At 50.8% G+C, this 18,744-nt stretch overlaps 2 long non-coding RNA genes across 2 annotated transcripts, besides 2 other annotated features; one reads left to right on the top strand and one right to left on the bottom strand.

The window, feature by feature from the left end:
* Positions 1–4,274: 4,274 nt before the first annotated feature.
* LOC105376649 (uncharacterized) lies at positions 4,275–5,906 on the bottom strand. Its single transcript, XR_931236.3, has 2 exons — positions 5,078–5,906; positions 4,275–4,858 (listed from the first exon to the last, which is right to left on the bottom strand). It is a non-coding gene; the product is annotated as an uncharacterized LOC105376649 (long non-coding RNA).
* LINC02685 (long intergenic non-protein coding RNA 2685) lies at positions 5,408–9,534 on the top strand. The gene is made up of 4 exons (NR_026681.1): positions 5,408–5,913; positions 6,302–6,399; positions 8,815–8,908; positions 8,994–9,534. It is a non-coding gene; the product is annotated as a long intergenic non-protein coding RNA 2685 (long non-coding RNA).
* Positions 5,982–6,627: an enhancer, noted in NCBI's record as "H3K27ac-H3K4me1 hESC enhancer chr11:44996027-44996672 (GRCh37/hg19 assembly coordinates)". NCBI's record gives its function as "activates a minimal SCP1, AML or CMV promoter by ChIP-STARR-seq in primed H9 embryonic stem cells {active_cell/tissue: H9 hESC(primed)}" and the evidence as "EXISTENCE:reporter gene assay evidence [ECO:0000049][PMID:30033119]".
* Positions 7,856–8,813: an enhancer, noted in NCBI's record as "H3K4me1 hESC enhancer chr11:44997901-44998858 (GRCh37/hg19 assembly coordinates)". NCBI's record gives its function as "activates a minimal SCP1, AML or CMV promoter by ChIP-STARR-seq in naive H9 embryonic stem cells {active_cell/tissue: H9 hESC(naive)}" and the evidence as "EXISTENCE:reporter gene assay evidence [ECO:0000049][PMID:30033119]".
* Positions 9,535–18,744: the final 9,210 nt, after the last annotated feature.

Consider the following 18,744-nt stretch of genomic DNA (forward strand, 5'->3'; position numbering starts at 1 on the left):
GCTTAAATGGATGAATATCTATATATAATACCAAAATTTAGCTAGCATTTAGTATGACTGCTAATGCATTAGCTCATTTAATTTTCATAACAGCCCTATGAGGTAGACACCATCCCGAAGCCCATTTCACAAGTGAGGAGACTGAGGCTCAGAGACATTAAGCATTTGCCTAAGGCTGGCTACGCAGATGGTAGTGGCTGGAATCCATGTAAACTGCTTGGCACAGTGCCTGGAACATAATAAGTGCTCATTAATTTGTGGCTTGTTTAATGGCCAGACATAGTGGCTCATTCCTATAGTGCCAGCGTTTTGGGAGGGTGAAATGGGAGAACTGCTTGAGACCAAGAGTTCAAGACCAGTGGGTGGATCACCTGAGGTCAGGAGTTCAAGACCAGCCTGGCCAACATGATGAAACCCTGTCTCTACTAAAAATACAAAAATTGGCCCAGTGCAGTGGCTGACACCTGTAATTCCAGCACTTTTGGAGGCCGAGGCAGGCGAATTGCCTGAGCTCAGGAGTTTGAGACCAGGCTGGCCAACAGGGCAAAACCCCATCTCTACTAAAAATAAAAAAATAATAAAAATAAAATAAAAATAAAAAAATTAGCTGGGCCTGGTGGCGCGTGGCTGTAATCCCAGCTACTTGGGAGGCTGAGGCAGGAGAATTACTTGAACCCGGGAGGCAGAGGTTGCAGTGAGCCAAGATCGTGCCACAGCACTCCAGCCTGAGTGACGGAGCAAGACTCTGTCTCAATAATAATAATAATTTAGCTGGGCATGGTGGCAGGCACCTGTAATCCCAGCTACTCAGGAGGCTGTGGCAGGAAGATTGCTTGAACCCAGGAGTCGGAGGTTCCAGTGAGCTGAGATCGCACCACTGCACTCCAGCCTGGGTGACAGAGCGAGACTCTGTCTCAAACAAACAAACAAAAAATGTGGTTTGTTTAAAAAAGACGGAGGGAAGGAGGCTCAAGTCTGGCTCAGTCTTCAGAAGTTGTCCGTGCCCTGCATCCCAGCACATTCTGCTCTACCTCTGGTCAACCCAGCCGAAAGCATCTCCCTGTAGAAGTGCCCCAACTGTCCCGCCCAGATTGACAGCCAGGTCTGGCTGCCTTTGTCTGGTAGCTAACCGGCCCCCTGGAGAATCCACCTCCAGGCCCCATAGAGAATCCTGGAACTGAGTAGAGCAGGATCCTTCCAGCACCAAGAACACCCACACAGCACTCGACCATTTTACCCTAGAGCCCGTGGAGGCTCTCTCACCAGGTGGGAGAGGGAAATCGCTGTATGCTTCCTCAGCTCACGCCTATAAGCGTTCAAGTTCACAAGTGGTGCTTTTCTTAGACCGGCGTGTCATTTATGCTAGAAGCGTAAATTTGACAGGAGGGAGCATCGCAGGGGGAAGGAGTGAACATGTGGGGAGCCAGGTGCCAGGATAGGACTTGGGCATGTTATCTCATTTTATCTCATGTTGTCTCATTCCCAACAGCTTTGTTCAGGAAGTATCATTACCCCAATTTTGTAGCCAAGAATACTAAGGCTCAGAGGTTAGGTGACTTACGACTGTAATAAACAATAGTTAACATTGATTGAGCATACATTGATTGAGCATTTACTCGCTGCAGTGGTAAAATGCATTGACTGACTCCTCCAATCCCAATAATACTCTGAAGCTACATTGTCCTTACAGACAGGATAAATAGCTTGCCCAAGTTCGCCTAGGAAATGACAAAGGCAGAATTCAAAACCCAGGCCCCTGTGGCTCCAAAGCATTTCCTTCTATCTGTAAATAGTGTCTTAACATTGTATGGTTTATTTTAGAACCTAGAAACCTATCTCTAGGTGTGATGCAAACCCCCTTCTCTTGGGATTTCTGAATGTGCAGTAAGGAATACTGAGCCGGAGCCTCCTCTTGCTGTGTGACCTTGGGCAACCTGCTTCAAACCAAATTGCTTGGGCAATTTGGTTTCTTCATCCGGAAATGAGGAAGAGTGACCCTTGTCGACATTACTGGCTTGTAAAGGTCTACCCAGAGAGAAACCGCATGTATAGACACACATGCAACACCTCTGGGAGGACTTCGTCTTCTTAAATTGCAACATTAAGCACTTTCCTCCCACTCTGGTCACCTTCACTTGCTATTCCAAGTCAATTCAATTCAACGGATGCTGGAGGTAGCCATACTGCTCTGTAGCATGCTGGGTTCCGGGGGTGCGGCCGGAAGTGAGGTGCACTGGAACCTGGTGCCTGCCCTCTTACCCACCTAAAGGTTGGCTGCAGTGTGAAAGCCTAGCATCTGTTGAATTGAGTTAACTTGGAATAGCAAGTAAAGGTGACCAGAGTGGAAGGAAAGTGCTTTAGTCCATGCTTTAGTCTCCTCAGACCTGGCCCTTCCTGCCGAAGACACCCCTGGGCCTCATAAATAAGTCCTCCTTTTTTGCTGAACCCAGCTTGAGTGACTTCCTCTGATTCAAAATTCCAGAGTCCAATCAGTACAGCCCTACCTCCCTCCAGTCCAAGAAAACACCCTGATGAGAAACCCCCCACCCCACAGGGCTCATTTGTCAGAAAGGCTGAGAGAGAGAAAGGGCTGAGCACAGCAGCGGTGGTCTCTCAAGGTTCTGGGGGAAGAAGTGGGCTCTGTGACCTGGGGAGCCACCTTTAAGTATTATGCAGTGGCTGGAGCTTGTGCTTGCTTTGATTAGAACAATTTCTAAAAACTTGATCCCAAGATGGAGCCCTCACTGTAGGTGCTTAATCATAACCCAACGTGGTTCACATTTATTCAGCTTTTGAAATACACAAATTGCCTTATCACCCCTCTGGGAAGCCTTGCTGGACCGTCCCACCAGGCCGGATCTATCTTTCTCTTCCCTGCGTCTTGGACACCATTCCGCTGAGGCTGTCACGCTCTCTCAAGATAAGCAGGCTGTGTGCAGAGGGAAGAGCGAGATAAGGCTGGGTTCAAATCCCAGCTCTATTGCCCATTCTCGTTGGTAAAATGGGGGTGAAAATCTCTCCCTTGTAGGGTCATTTTAAGAATATTATGATACTGTGTATCGGCGAGTTCAGCACAAAGCCAGGCACTTAGTCACATCTCAAAAGCAGCTTTACTACTGGTAGCATGGTCTGTTTAGATGCTTTTATCTTCACTACCTCATGTGAGTGCTTCGAAAACAGACAAGAGCTGTTTTACAGCTGTTGTCTTGTATTGAACAGTGCCTGGTGTACAGTAAATACCTGTTCAGTCACCGATACTGCATTTTGGATCCATGAACTTCCTTAAGCATCCCAACAAGTCATGAAATCAACACGGTGGCATTCTGCCTGGGCCCTGAATGGGAGGAGTCCCCAGGTCTAGCTGAACCCAAGCCCAGGTCTACTCTCCAGTTGCCCAAGTTGTATTTCTGCTCAAGACTGAATTAATCCCAATCTCACTGGATGTGAATTAAGCGCGGGACTTCGTATTCTGCTTGGACAATACCCATTACTGACTGGGGTTTCTCAGTGGGGGACTGAGCCAAGCAGGAGATGGGGTGGGGATGGGGGGACATGGTAGCTTTCCCTAGAGGAAGCCCAGCCTTGGCCTGGCCCAACTGGCCAAGGAGTGCTTTGCTGAGTTATGGGGGTTCAGTGCTCAAAGTTCCAGGGGAGTCTGGGCCCCCAAGATTCTCAGAATCATCTGCCCAATTATCCCCACCTGAGGTCTCAGCATCCCACTCTCTGCCCAGCAGGGTTCTTGGCTTTGGCTGAGATCTGGCCAAGCTATGCCCTCCTTCTCCTTCACAACCCTGTGACCCTCCTGCCCCCAATTCCATGCCGAGCCTGATATTCAGTACAGGATACCCTTTGGCTGCAGAAGGAGAGAGTGTCTTACAACAGCACTATGGGGATTTTGTTCTTCACTGCATGGCCTGAGTTAACAGTGGATCAACCTGAGCCTGCTGTTTTCTTCCTTTAAGGCTTCCAGAGCAGTTAGCCGCCAGCCAGCCTCACCATCCCTGTAAGGCCCATCGCCCCTGGATTGTTTAGATGCTAGTGCTTTCATCTGATCCCCCACCCCACCAACACCTGTACCTCTTCCCAGCCCAGCACAGGGACAGTCTTAATCACCGTAATACCAGGGTGGCCACCATCACACGTCCCACGACAACAGGGCCCTCATTGCACATCACCAAGTGACCCAGCTCCAGAATGCCCTCCTGTAGTGGCGTTCTCAGGGCTGCGACTCTCTTAGCTTAAGATCCCCCCAAAGTAGAACCCGATGCCAAGGCTTGTGTACAGGGAGTTTATTTTGGAAGTCATTCTAGGGACCAGAAATGAGGGACGAACAGGAGTGGGAAACAAGAGAGAGCAGAAGAGCCAAGATAACGGTGCATTATTAGGTCACTGCCGTGGGTGGCTGGGGCTCAGCCCTGCCAGGACCTTCCAAGCAGTGCACAGAGGGACCTTATGGGTCAGATGACGGCCTGGCAGAAGCATTCACCTGGTGGCGCCTGTGCACCCCAGATTGAGGCTGGCTCAGTGGAAGCAACTTCCCTCCACAAGTCCTCCGGCTGAGCCCGCTTCTGCCAACCTTGTGTTGGGGCGCTGCGGAAGCCCCTGGGCAGAAAATGAAAACTGCCTCATGCTGACAGGAGGCGAGGTGCTGGTGGTGCAAAGGGAGCTGAAGCCCGCCCGGAACTGCTTGCCACAGCATGGCTGGAAATAGAGTTGTAGCCGTGCACGCGGCAGGCGGCGTTCAGAAGGAATCTGGTGCATTCTCTCGTAGTTATGAAAACAGGCTCTGGAGCCAGGCTGTCTTGATTCCAATCCTTCTGCTGTGCTTCCTTTCCTTCCACTTACAGAAGGGGGAATACTAAGAAGAAAGTACTTTATAGGGTTGTTATGAAGTAAATGAGAAAATTCATGCAAGATGCTTGTAATAGTGCCTGGCACATAATAAATACTCAATTAAGAGGGGCTTCTAATATCCCCATTTTACAGTTGAGGAAACTAAGATACATATTTTTTGAGGGATGAGGAGAAAGGGGACAAAGAAAGGGAGGGAAGGATTTTGAGTAGATCCCGCTCAAACCTCCAGAGAAGCGGAGGCCCTGGCTCTCTCAGCGTTTCTATGTCCTCTTCCCCTATCACAGGAGAGGCCTAAGGATGGGCAGCAAAGGCTTTCTTCCCCAAACAGGCATTCAAGCTTCCTCTGCTCCAGCTACAGGGTCCGTGGGTTCCTTGTGATGTCACAGCTGGTTGCTATGGAGACCAGGTTGCTGTGAATGTCAGTCCGAGGCCCATTAGGAGCACAGTGAACAGCAGCCCAGGCGAGCCCAGGGAGGCAAGAAAATGAGGCTCCCCGTGAGGTCTAATAAACACCTCTCGCCACACCCCAAACACATAGACACGCAATAGAGCCCATAGGTCCTGAGTGAGTCCCCCTGGCCCACCCCATTCAGCTGAGATCTGACAACATATGTTTGGGGACAAACAGCCCCAGCAGCCAGGAGCAGGCCACATCATACATAGTCAGCATCAGCCATGGTCCCCTCCCACTCTCCTGGGGGAAAAAGGTGCTTTACAGGCAGCGTGGCATCCGAGCATCCCCATGGCGATGCTGAGGTCAGACCTCACTGTGGTGATCTCACGCTGGGGCCACCGGACTCAGGCCAGGCTGGGAGTAGGCTGTCTAGCCATTGCTGGCTGTCATTGTCACCAAGGGAAGGGGAGAAGCTGTGAAGAGTTGCTCTGGAAAAAACAAATCTGCTCATAGGACAATGGGTCTGGGTGAACCTATCCCGGCCCTCTTGGCTGCTGGGCCAGGGCCTGGTTTTTCACAGGGCACCATTGAGACCACAGGAAGTGGCTTCCTGCCTCTGAAGACAGCACACAACTGCCCTAGAAAGCGCTCTTGTCACCCCTGCTGTGAGTCCCCCAGTGGGTTGCTTTGAGAGCCTTTCCTTTTACTGTGTATGGGGAAAATCTTCTGGGGGGATTGGCAGAGGTGGGGGGAAGCACCCTATGCCCTTCTCTGGATCGCAGGGTATCCTCCCTCCATGCTCTGGCGAGGCACTGACCACCCCCTTCCCCAGGGCTGAGCCAGACTCCAGGCAGCCTCCAGCCACCCGTGCCTCCGGTTCACCCCTGCCTGCCTGCCCGCCTGCTGCTGTCCTCAGCCAAGCCCTTCTGCATTCCCCGGCTCGAGGCCCCACTGTACTACCTGCCTAGTTGGGACACTTTTGCAGGAGGGACTGTCGCCTTTCTTTTGCTGGACTTTTATTTTTTTGAGACAGAGTCTTGCTCTGTTGCCCAGGCTGGAGTGCAATTGCACAATCTCGGCTCATTGCAAGCTCCGCCTCCCAGGTTCAAGTGATTCTCCTGCCTCAGCCTCCCTAGTTGCTAAGACTACAGGTGCGTGTCCACTATATCTGGCTAATTTTTTCATTTGTTTTTTGTTTTTTGAGACAGAGTTTCACTCTTGTCACCCAGGCTGGAGTGCAGTGGTGCAATCTCGGCTCCCTGCAATCTCCGTCTCCCAGGTTCGAGCTATTCTCCTGCCTCAGCCTCCCGAGTAGCTAGGATTACAGGCGCCCACCACCACACCATGCTAATTTTGTATTTTTAGTAGAGATGGGGTTTCACCATGTTGGCCAGGCTGGTGTCAAACTCCTGACCTCAAGTGATCTGCCCGCCTCGGCCTCCAAAAGTGCTGGGATTACAGGCGTGAGCCACCGCGTCCCGCCTGGACTTTCTTAAGAAACAGTTACTCCCAACCTACAGCTTGACCTCATAGCTGGGCCCTTCATCCTGCTGATGGGCAGTGTAGGGAGACAGGAAACACAGAGGCGTCTGGGAGGCAAACCTCATTGCCACCCCTTTCTAGAGACGTGGCCTTGGGCAAGTCACGTCCCCTCTCTGAGACTCTTGTTTTCTCAGGGTCATTGTGAGGATTAGATGGCCCCGTAAGTGTTCACCCCTTTCTTCCCAATCCTGCATCTGGACCCCAGATGCCACCTCCCACGTCAGAGGCCCTGCATCCATGCTCTGCATCTCTGGCTGCCCTCACCACACATGTGTTGCTCTGCCCAGGCCCCTCAAGGCTGGTGGTGTTCTTACACCTTGCTTTTGCTGACTCAGTGGATGTGTCTAGGTACCACCAGTCCCGACCCCGTTCTGTAGGTCTCTTCTAGAAAGGAGAGCCACCAAGAGCCTATGCCCTGCTCTGTGTTAGGATCTGTGTCAGACATTTCACACCCATTATTCTAATGAACTCTCACCCCAAGCCCAGCACAGAGTGATCACTAGTCCCATTTTAGGGATGAAAAAATTGAGACAGAAGTAAAATGACCTGCCGGGCGCGGTGGTTCATGCCTGTAATCCAAGCATTTTGGGAGGCCAAGGTGGGTAGATCACGAGGTCAGGAGTTTAAGACCAGCCTGGCCAACATGGTGAAACCCCGTCTCTACTAAAAGTACAAAAATTAGCTGGGCATGGTGGCACATGCCTTGTAATCCCAGCTACTTGGGAGGCTGAGGCAGGAGAATTGCTTGAATGGGGACCCGGGGGGCGGGGGTTGCAGTGAGCCAAGATCGCGCCACTGCACTCCAGCCTGGGCTACAGAGGACAGGGAGACTCAGCCCGGAAAAAAAAAAAAAAAAAGTAAAATGGCCTGCCGAGGTCACATGGCAACTATAGCTACCATTGACCAAGCATTTTCTCCTTGTTGAGTTTTATGCTAAAATGCTTCACACTTATCATTTCACTATAAAGTAGGAAGTTAAGCGCCTGAACTCTGGAGCCAGCCTGCCTGGGTTTGAATCCTGCCTCTGCCTCTTACTAGCTGTGTGACCTTGAGCAAGTTATTTAATCTTTCTGTGCCTTGGAGTCCTTATCTGTAAAATAAGATAGCAACAATTCCTCCCTTATAAGGTTGTCATGAGGAAGAAATTAGGGATAAAGTGCTTAAAGTCATGTCTGGCACGAAGTAAATGCTATATAGTGTTTCTTTTTTTTTCTTTTCTTTTCTTTTAAAAAGGTGAGGAAAGCCTCACAACAGCTCTTAGGGTAGAGTACTACTGTTAGTTGCATGTTAGGGAGTAAACAGGCACAGAGAGATGAGTTCACATACTTGAGGTCACACAGCTTATACATGGCAGGGCTGGGATTAGAGCCCAGGGTTCATTGTATCAGGAGCTGTGCTGGTCCCATTTTGCCATCCACCCTGCAGGAGAGGACAGCAGGAGTCCTGCCAGAGGGTAAGGTCCATGGCAACTAAGAACCAGAAGGGAGTGCTGCCCCACCCACAGACCCCGGCTGGGGCTGGGTCGGGGCACAAGGACTCAGTGGCTGGTGGAGGAGGGAGAGAAAGGAGTAGCCGGCTGAGGCTCGCCAGGATCCTAGCAACCAAAATTCCTGCTCCAGCTGAGAAGGAAGCATGGCCGGGCTGAGCTGCCACAGAGCTAGGCTCTGGGTCACCACCAAAGCCCCATGCTTCTTGCCTAGATTGAGCTTGAGCCCTTGTAAATCCTTGCATTTATCAATAGTACATTCCATGAATGGGGTTCTTATTTCCAACTCTGTGACCTTAGGCAAGCAGCTTGACCTTGCTGGACCATGTGTCATGAGGTTGTTATGGGGCATGAGTGAGTTAGCGGATGGGAATATAAAGTTCCTATCGCAGTCCAGCACAGGGCAGAAGGTGTTCAGGATATGGAGGTTCCCTTCCCCTCTCTGCTCAATGCCCAGGCACCGCGGCTGACCCTTGGTCAGTAGAGCGCACCCAGACGAATGCCCAGGTGGACACTTGTGTCTTTGTGGTTATCTTAGGGTAGAGAATCAGAGGCTTGTAGATGTCTTTGCCACTTCCACGGGATCTCTGGGAGCTGGAAACTGAGCTTTAAGAAATAACTATAGTGCAAAGGTGAGTATAAATATAATCAGGTTTTCATCATGTTCTTCCTGCAAAATTCTCTTGGAAATGACAACCAACCTCCATTCTATTGCAGGGAACTAAGGGAAAAGGGTTCAGCCCAAAGCAGAAGGGACTGTGATGATCACAGTGACCTCCTGAGGCCAGCATGGTGGTAGCAGCCAGAGACAGCAGCTGAGTGAGACCCTAAGGGAGGGATGAGCCAGGCAGTGTGTGGTTGGAGTTCTCCCTACACATCTCGTTTTCCTCACCTCCAGATCACACACATGCACACACACATATGCACCCACACACCCCTTACACACTCCGGCCCGAAGGTTTCTGCAGGACTCCTTCCTGGCACTCTCTCCAGTGCTGCCAGCGTCGCACCACACTGCAAGGCTTTGCAAACTTTCCTTCCAAAGTGAAGGAGACCCTCTGGCCATCTGAGGCTCGGTCTGAAGCAACAGCCTCAGAGCGCAATCTCAGGCATGCAGGAAGTGCAGGAAGGCCACGTGCCACATACGTTATCTCACTTAATCTCATTAGCAGGAAATGTCTTTAAAGTCTTATGTTGGTGCTTAAAAATTCCTGAGCAGTTTAGCCCTTAATAAAGCCAGGCTTTTTAAAATTTGAAATGAGGTTGAGAAAACTGTGGTCATCGGAATTCCCTTCAGAGACAACACTTAGCTGAGTCTCTTGGTTGTAGGGAGGAGGCTGATGGCGGCAGAGGGGGCAGTGGGGATGGCAGAGAGTGGGGGGAGCATGCCAAGGGGACATTTAAGTGAGAAAAGGTGATACTAAATCGCTCCATATTATGTGGAGTGAGGAGGAAAGAGGGTATGTTTGGGGGTGGGGAGAGTGTGTGTGTATGTGAGAGAGAATGTGTGTGTGTGTATGAGAGTGTGTGTGTATGTGAGAGAATGTGTGCGTGTGAGAGTGTGTGAGACAGAGACAGTGTGTGTGTATGTGAGAGAGAATGTGTGTGTGTGAGTGTGTGTGAGACAGAGACAGTGTGTGTGTATGTGAGGGAGAATGTGTGTGTGACTGTGGGTATGAATGAGAGAATGTGTGTGTGACTGTGTGTGTGAGAATGTGTGTGAGAAAATGTGTGTGAGAGAGTGTGTGAGTGTGTAAGTGAGAGAGAGAATGTGTGTGTGTGACAGTGTGTGTGTATGTGAGTGTGTGTGAGAGTGTGTGTGTATGTGAGAGAGAATGTGTGTGTGAGAGAGTATGTGTATGTGTGTGAGAAAGTGTGTGAGTGTGCATGCATGTGTGTGTAGGGTGTGCAAGATCGAGCAGAGAGATTGAAGCAAGTGAGGCTGGGAGCTGCTTCAAGGAGGAAGAGAGGGAAAGAAAGAGAAAGGCTTGCCTGTCAGAGGAGGAGCTAGAGAAGAAAATGTGAGCTGGAGTTCATGCAGGGGAAGGGAGATGGGCTGTGTGGTGTGCTCCTCTTAGCAGAGGGCTTGAAAATCTCCAGCAGGACTCGGCCTGTGTCCCCTGGACTTTGGTATCCTTGGCAGTGCCTTGGACCTCACTGGGTACTGGAACCCACTGGTCTGTCTTTCCCACTAGACTGTGATTGTCTCAGGGGTAGGCAATGTGTGGCTTCCTCCCTGAGCCTCAGGCCTAGCCCAGTGCCAGGACTCATCAATATTGTTTGAACTGGCTGAGCTCCAAGCAGGTGGGTTTGGAGGTTTTCACTCTTTGTTTGTTTTCTAGGTTGGTCTTATTTAACAAGGCAGGCAGCCTGGGGTCAGACCCAAATTCTTGCCTGCCCAGTTTCAGTCCTGCCTGGAGAATGAGATGGGCCTGACTCCCTCAGGCTGGAGCCCAGATGAGTTCCTGGGTGCAACAGAGGAGGCAGTTGGAGCAATGGGGACTGCCCAGTGGGAGGGAGGCGGAGCCAGTCTTATTGTTGAGAGGGCAGAGGGCAGAAGGGACTCCTCTTGGCAGTTGGTCCAGCTCTGGGCTACCTTGTCCATCCTGAGCCCTAGGAAAGAAAACAAAAGGAGCCTTGCAGTGCAGGCCTGTGTGGTCCAGAAAAAGAAAGGTAAAATCTCCCATGGCTGCTGCTTTCGGTCCGACAGGCATCAGGCTGAGCTACTCGGGCTGCTTTTCCCCTCTGGGTGAGGATGCACCAACACGAACATACAGAGCGGCTGCTTCTACACAAAGGGACCCCAGGAGAGCAGGAGAGGCATTTGTGGGACGTCACGGGGAACTTGTTGTCCACCTGGAAGGGGCTGCCAAGTCAGACTCTTCTTTGGGGAGAGGAGACAGGTAGCGCCCCTGTGGGGTGCCAGGGTTTGGCCATCACTCAACGACGGCCGGGCCGGTGCCTTAAGGAGCTCGGGGAAGGAGAACACACCTGCGCAGCATCAGCCCAGTTCTAGTGTGAGTCATCACCAAGTAGCTGATGGCAGCTGTGGAACAAGAGCAGGTACAGGATGGGGGCCCCAGTTGGGAGAGAAGAGTGGAAGAGGCATGTTTGGGGTGAGAGCTGGAGGCATGAAAAGGTGGAGGGACGTGGAGGGTACGTGCTCCTTACAACAGCAACTGCAGCCAGTCAGCCTGAGCACAGGGCCCTGGGAGTTTGGGAATGGAAGACACAGGGCTGAGTGAGAAGGTGGAGGTGAGCTTCCTCATTACAGGGGCCAGGAAATGCTGACGAATAAACAGCCATTGTTTACTGAGCCGTTGCTGCATGCCGGGCGCATAGCCAGGCCTTCACACACAACAACAATGGCATTTGCTAGGTGCTGGGCACATTCTGAGCACGTCACGGCACTCACTCACGTGGCTCTCACAAATCAGAGGGCGGAACAGACCACAGAGAGGTTAAGTGGCTAGTCAGAGGTCAGCCAGGATCAGGACTCCTGACCCCCTGACCCCTGCCAACTACAGCTTCTCCAGATATGACTGCCCGGTAGATATTCTCCCCACTTTATGGACGAAGAAACTGAGGCTCGGAGGGATTAACTGAGCAGGGAAGGAGCGCTCTCATTGTGCCAGGCTCCGTGCTAATCACGCTCCCATATGTTATTCCCTCCATTCTGGCCACAGCTATATGAGGTGGAGATTATGATCCCCAGGTTACAGAGGAGAAAACAGGGGGCGGGGAAAGGAGGGATAAGTCATTTGCCAAGATTTGATCGAAGAATCAGCATGAAGCCTGTGGAGTTTTCAGGGATCCTCATTCCCTCAGGGAGCCACAGCTACAGCACCCACATTTCAGGCCCCAGTAATCCCCCCCAGGCCTGGGGGTGAGATGGGCGGGGTCCCAAAAAGACCCTTCTCCTCCAGAGCCCAAGTCACTGCACCCAGCCACTTCCTGCTGCAGGAAATGCAGACCAGGACGATTCCCGTTCCCCAGGGCTGCAGGAGGAGTCCAGGGGAAGGGGCTGTGTGGAAGGCTGCAGAATCCAAGTTCAGGAAGGAAAAGCATCCTCTCCAGGGTCTGGGTTCCGATTCTGGCTTAACCTTTGCGGTCTGTGAGCTGATCAGAGCCTCAGTTTCCTGTCAGATAAGAATAGTCACCCTCCCCGCCTCGGGGAGGAACTGTGAGGACCAGATAGAAAGGGCCCCGGGTACAGTGCTGCTCTGGCCAGACCCCAGGAGTAAAGTCTGAGATGAGGATTCCTGTACAAGGGATGCATCAAGGGTGTGCTCCTGGGGGAGCTGGTGAGGGCGAGGGAGGCACCCAGCCAGGGTACATGCAGGAGGCTGGGGAGGGGTGCCCACAATGTAGATCACGCCTCTGTGTTGGTCAGACTCAAAGCAAGGCCCTCTGCCACTGGCCAAGCGTCCCACCCTGGCTTCCAGTTCTCTGCACTCAGGGTCAAAGTGGCTCCAGCAGCCTGAAGGCCATCAGACGCCAAAGCACACAGAAGCCAGGGGTGGGGCGGGGCACTCAGAGTTGGTAAGCAGCATCCAAGGGGATTTGGGTGCAGCACAGATGCTGTCGCCTGTGCCTGACACAGAGCAGATGCTCATTAAACAGGGTCAGTAACTGCTGGCACCCACAGAGCTGGGACAAGGACCCTTGGGCCTGGGTCAAATCGTGTGGCCACTCAGCCTTGGCAGGTGTATCGGTTTTCTGTTGCTGCTGAAACAAATGACCACTCCCCTCAGTGGATTAAGCTGATATTCATGGATTGCATTCTCTTAATGGTTCTGGAGGTCAGAGGTCAAAAATCAGGATGGCAGCAGGGGTGAGCTCTTTCTGAAGGCCTCGGGAGAATCTGTTTCCGTGCCTTTTTCAGTTTCTAGGAGCTGCCTGCATTCCTTGGCTTGGGGCCCCTTCCTCACATCCCTCCAGCCTTCACTTGCAGCATTACCTCTCCTGCTGGATCTTCTGGCCTTCCCCTTGTGATAACACTGGGCCTGTTCTGATAGCACAGGATACCCTCCCCATCTGAAGACCCTTAGCTGAATCACAGCTGCAAAGGCCCATTCTACCATGTTAGGTAACATATTCACAGGTTCTGGGGATGAGGATGTGGACGCCTTTGTGGGCCACTACACAGTCAACCATAGCAGGGAAAGGACAGGGACCTCAGCCTCCCCCAAGATGGATACACAGCCCTGCCTTTGTCTCAAGGGGACAGCTCTACTCCAGAGCTCCCTGTGGGATGGGGCTGAGACTAGACTTCAACTGGACCCACATCTTTGCCTGGCTTCTTCCCTTACTTTCTTGTTTCTTTTACCCCTATAGGTTTCACCCCAGACACCCCCTGCAAACAATAAATTACTTGCATAAGGCTCCCTGCTTCTGGAGAACCTGACCATGTCACTTTGTAACATTATCCCCATTTCACCGACCTGGAAGCTGAGGTGCAGAGAGAATGATTATATCTTGCCCAAGGTTACACAGAGAGTCAATGGCAGAGCTAGGACTGGACCCCAGTCTCTCAATTCTCAGTTCTGGGCTCCCCATCCCTCCTGTTTGTCTAAGGGCCAGCGAGGGGGTCTGGGGAAGATCAGAGAGCCAGTCCCCACATAGCTCACCATTCTCAGGGTTGTCATGGTGCTGCTGAGCTGGCTACCTGCCGTCCAGAGCCTTTTTCTTCCTACCTCTTCTAAGTCCTTTGTTAAGGAAGTGCACTTTGAAGAGACTTCTGGCTGTTTTGCTTTGAATTTCCGCAGCAGCTCTTTTGCCCCAAATCCTGGCAGCTTGGCTTGAGAATAGACTGTTCATCCAGTTGCCTGGGATGGTGTGAGAGGGGTCTGCTAGTCCTGGAGCGGGAGGCCGAGACAGAGGCAGGCCACCCCATGCCCTGAACCCCCTTCAGAAGACCCAGGCCACAACACAGCAATGGTCCGAGCTAAGACAACTCAAGTCTTGTGCTGCTGATTTTCGGTCTCTCCCCACTCCATCCCTTCCTTTCTCTGCTCCAGGTCCCAGTTGCATCTGTGGACCATGGGCTCTCTGCCTTCTGGCCTCTGATGGCTGCAGCCAATGGAAGGCCCCGGCAGGAGAGACTGGTGTTTATTCCTCCCGGATCCTTGCCCTTTCAGGCCTAGGGTTGGGCACAGCTTCCCAGTGATGCTAAGCCCCCACTGCCTCTCCATCCCTTCTCATGTGTGATAGGCAGTCATGGCCCTCAAGTTGTCCATGTCCTAATCCCTGGGATCTGCGAACCTGCCACCTTATATAGCAAATGAGACTTTGCAGATGTGATTAAATTAGCCGGGTGCAGTGGCTCACACCTGTAATCCCAGAAGTATGGGAGGCTGAGGCAGGCGGATCACTTGAGGTCAGGAGTTTTGAGACCAGCCTGGCCAACATGACAAAACCTCGGCTCTACTAAAAAATACAAAAATTAGCTGGGTGTGGGGGTGGGCGCCTGTAATCCCAGCTACTTGGGAGGCTGAGGCAGGAGAATCGCTTGAACCTGGGAGGCGGAGGTTGCAGTGAGCTGACATCATGCCACTGCACTCCAGCCTGGGTGACAGAGCAAGACTCCATCTCAAAAAAAAAAAAAAAAAAAAGATTTAAAAAGATGTGATTAACTGACTGATCTTTAGATGGAGAGATTATACTGAATTACCCAAGGAGTGGGGGGCTGATGATGTAATTAGGGTCCTCATAAGAGGGAGGCAGGAGGGCCAAGGTGATCTGATGATGGAAGCAGAGGTGGCAGTTATGTGGCCAGGAACCAAGGTAAGCCAGGAGAGGCAAGCGATGAATTCTCCCCGGGGCCTCCAGAAGGAACCAGCCCTGCTGACACCTTGATGTTAGCATTTGGGACTTGTGACTTCCAGAACTGTAAGGAAATAAGTTTGTGTTGTTTTAAGCCACTAAATTTGGGGTAATTTTTTACAGCAGGACTGGGATATTAATACGCTGCACTTCTGTAAATACCTTCTTAATTAAATTATCTTCAGTTAAAGCCTCAAATGTGTTTTGTATTTCCTGCCAGGACCTGAGTCATACAACTACTGATATGTGTCAGAAATGGTGTCAATTATTTTATTTATCTCTCATCGCCCATGTTGCTGGTGGGGAAGGTGGGACTTATGTCCCACAGTCCATAGTAAGAGGTGGCATCCAACCCTCTGGCTCCAGGACCTGAGTCACAACCCGGCAGGCTGCTGCTCGTCACTGTTAAAGGAGAAGCCGATAGCAAGGGAAGGAGCCCTCATGAAAGTGAGAACCACCCGCACCCCAACCCCGAAGGACACAGGCCCAGGGTCAAGTTGGGTGGGGCGAGTGCAGCCCAGCTGTTCAGGGGCATGAACATTTCACTTCTTGCTTCTGAGAACTCAAAAACACACCCAGGTGCTTTTCAAGGTTTAGCTGAACCCAAGGAACAGCATTTGAATTGATAACTCTCAACCCTCAGTTTCCTCTTCCACAAAATGGGAATTTAAATGCCCATCTTGTAGGGTGGCATTGTGAAAATTAAAGTACACATGAGGAATGATGACCACATGGTAATTACCCAATAAATGGTGATCACTCTTATTTTAGCATCTATCATAGATGCTAAAACTCTAGCACAGTTCTAGGTACTGGGGATAAATCAGAGAATAAAATGGACAAAACTCCAACCCTCATGAGATGTTCATTTTGGTGACCTGAAACAGACAATAAACAAATAACTACATTTTGTTTGGAGACTATGTTGCCCAGGCTGGAGTGTAGTGGCCTGATCACAGCTCACTGTAGCCTGAATCTCCCAGGCTCAAGTGATTCTCCTTCCTTGGCCTCCCAAATAGCTAGGACTACAGGCATGGGCCACCACACCTAGCTAATTTTTGAAAAGTTATTTATAGTGATGAGGTTTCACTATGTTGCTCAGGCTAGTCTGGAACTTGCGGGCTCAAGTGATCCTCACAGCTCAGCCTCCCAAAGTGCTGGGATTAAAGGCATGAGCCACCATGCCTGGCCAACTAAATTATTGAGTGGGTCAGAGGATGGTAAGAGGCGGAGGGTAGGGCATTGGAGGAGGGGGATGCTGTGATTTTACATAGATTGGTCAGGGGCAACTTCGCAGACAAGATGACGTTGGTTTTTGAGCATCTCCTCGTTGTTTCATCTATTGACGTGCTGATGTCCTTGTATTTGCTTCAGTATAATTGGTGCTAATGGATGGCTGTCTCTTGAACCCTGGGTGAGGTAAGGATGAAGGCTCAGTGTGCCTCGTGTATGTGTGAGGATGGGTGTGCTCCCCAGCTTTCCCTTCCCCCGCCAGCCATTTACTGACTCTGAGCCTTTGCCCAAGCTTTGCCCTCCGCCTGACATGCATCCCTCCCCTTGCCAAATGCTCTCCCATCCATCAAGTCCGCAGCACACCCTCTCTTATTGTCCTTGGTGCCCTCCCCGTTCCTTGGGAAGAACTGAGGGCCCCTTCCATGCGTTCAAGCAATTCTCCTTCTTCAGCCTCCAGAGTAGCTAGGATTACAGGAGGGTACCACCATGCCCGGCTAATTTTTGTATTTTTGGTAGAGATGGGGTTTTGCCATGTTGGTCAGGCTGGTCTGGAACTCCTGACCTTGGGCGATCCGCCCGCCTCAGTCTCCCACAGTGCTGGGATTACAGGCATAAGCTGCCATGCCCAGCCTCATGCATTCTCCTAACACACCTTTATTTTTTTATAGATGAGGAAACTGAGGTACAGAGAGGCTAAGGCCATTCATGTGAACCCACAGAGTCTGACTGCAGAGTAGAGCTCTAAAAATGATCTAATTTTGAAAAGTTAATTTGTGCATACGGCACAAAATTCAAAAGATACACAAAGTAATGGAATGAAAATTTAGTCTCGCTCCCAGGGAGTATCCACCACAGGTATTTTTGTTGGAATGTCCTTCCAGAGATAATCTGTGTAAAAACATACATGTATTTGAAATTTACATTTAACGCAAATGGGAGAACAGCAGCTTTGCATGGCCCCTTGCCTTTTCCTGCAGGTAGCGGCATCTGTCTTGAGATGGCTCTATATCCATGCACACAGGCTGCCGCTCCACCGCTGCTCCATGCAGTGCAGGGAGAACTTGGGGCTGGAGGGCTGAGCCCGTGGTTCAAAGCATGCACACAGCATTGAGCAGCCATGCCTATCCTGTGGTCCTGGCCTCCCTGAATGCATAGTGGAACAGAAGCACCCTAGAAGGTCACCACGACCCCATCAGAACCCAAGCATGGCACTTCCTTTCCTGCCCTCTGTCCCTGGTCAGAAGGCACTGGCTGTTCCTGGATGTGTTTGTCAGAACAGTAGAGGATAGAGAAGACATACATCTACAAGTCTCTCATTCAAAAGAGAGGCTCCAGGGAGACCATCCCAGGCCCCAAATAACTCCAAGGTAAAAGCTGGTGTACAGCAAGGAAAACAGGAGAGGCACTTTGGTCGTTATCAGGTTATCTGTCTGGGACAGGCAGGTGAACTTGATGTCCAGTAAAAATTCCTACACTCATGCCTCTGGGTCCTAATTTCTGATCTCTGGGCCTCTGAGGCACAGACCCAGCCCTCACGGTCCTTGCACCTGCTTCAGAAGCAAGTCATTTCTCAGCCTCCTGGGCAGCTGCTGGCCGAATTGCAGAATCATTGCACTGTGAACCCCAAGAGGTCCTCTCACCTAGCTGTTTTTTAAGACATGGGCCCTGTGCAGTCCAGTTCACTGCTCTGCTAGCTTTTTTTCCTTGAATGTCTCCAGTGACAGGAATCTCATGCCCTTTCAAAGGCATTTAGGGGAATTCCTCGCCACCAAATATCAGAACTAGAAGACATCTTAGGAATCTCTTTGCCAACCCCTTTATTTTTTCTAATTATACTTTTTCCTGCCTTGTACCTTATCCAGTACAGACCTAGCTCTCTTCTTCTGGTGGGTGTATTTATTTTCCTTTCATTTAACATTTTTTTAACTGCTACATAATATTTGTACATATTTATGGGGTGCATGTGATATTTTGTTACAGGCATAGAGTGTGTAATGATCAAGTCAGGGAATTTGGGGTATCCATTATCTCGAGTGTTTATCACTTCTATGTATTGGGAATATTTCAAGTCCTCTCTTCTAACTATTTTGAAATATCCAATACCTTCATTAGCTGTCCTCACCCTACTTTGCTATCGAAATGGCTGGCTTTATAATTGCTGCAGTGTGGGGAAGGTCCTCTTTCTTGAAGGAAAAGCACCACCAAAGTAAAGAGCGATTCTGGCTTAGTTCAGGTTTCCATAACAAAATGCTACCAACTGAGTGGCTTAAACACAAGACTTTTGTTGCTCCCAGTTCAGGAGGCTCGGAAGGCCAAGATCAAGATGCCAGTGATTTGGCATCTGGGTGAGGGCCCTCTTCCTGGTTTGCAAATTGTTGCTTCCTGCCTCTCCTTACAGGGTGGATGATCT

The sequence above is a fragment of the Homo sapiens genome, chromosome 11, assembly GCF_000001405.40.
Source record: "Homo sapiens chromosome 11, GRCh38.p14 Primary Assembly".
NCBI lineage: Eukaryota > Metazoa > Chordata > Mammalia > Primates > Hominidae > Homo > Homo sapiens.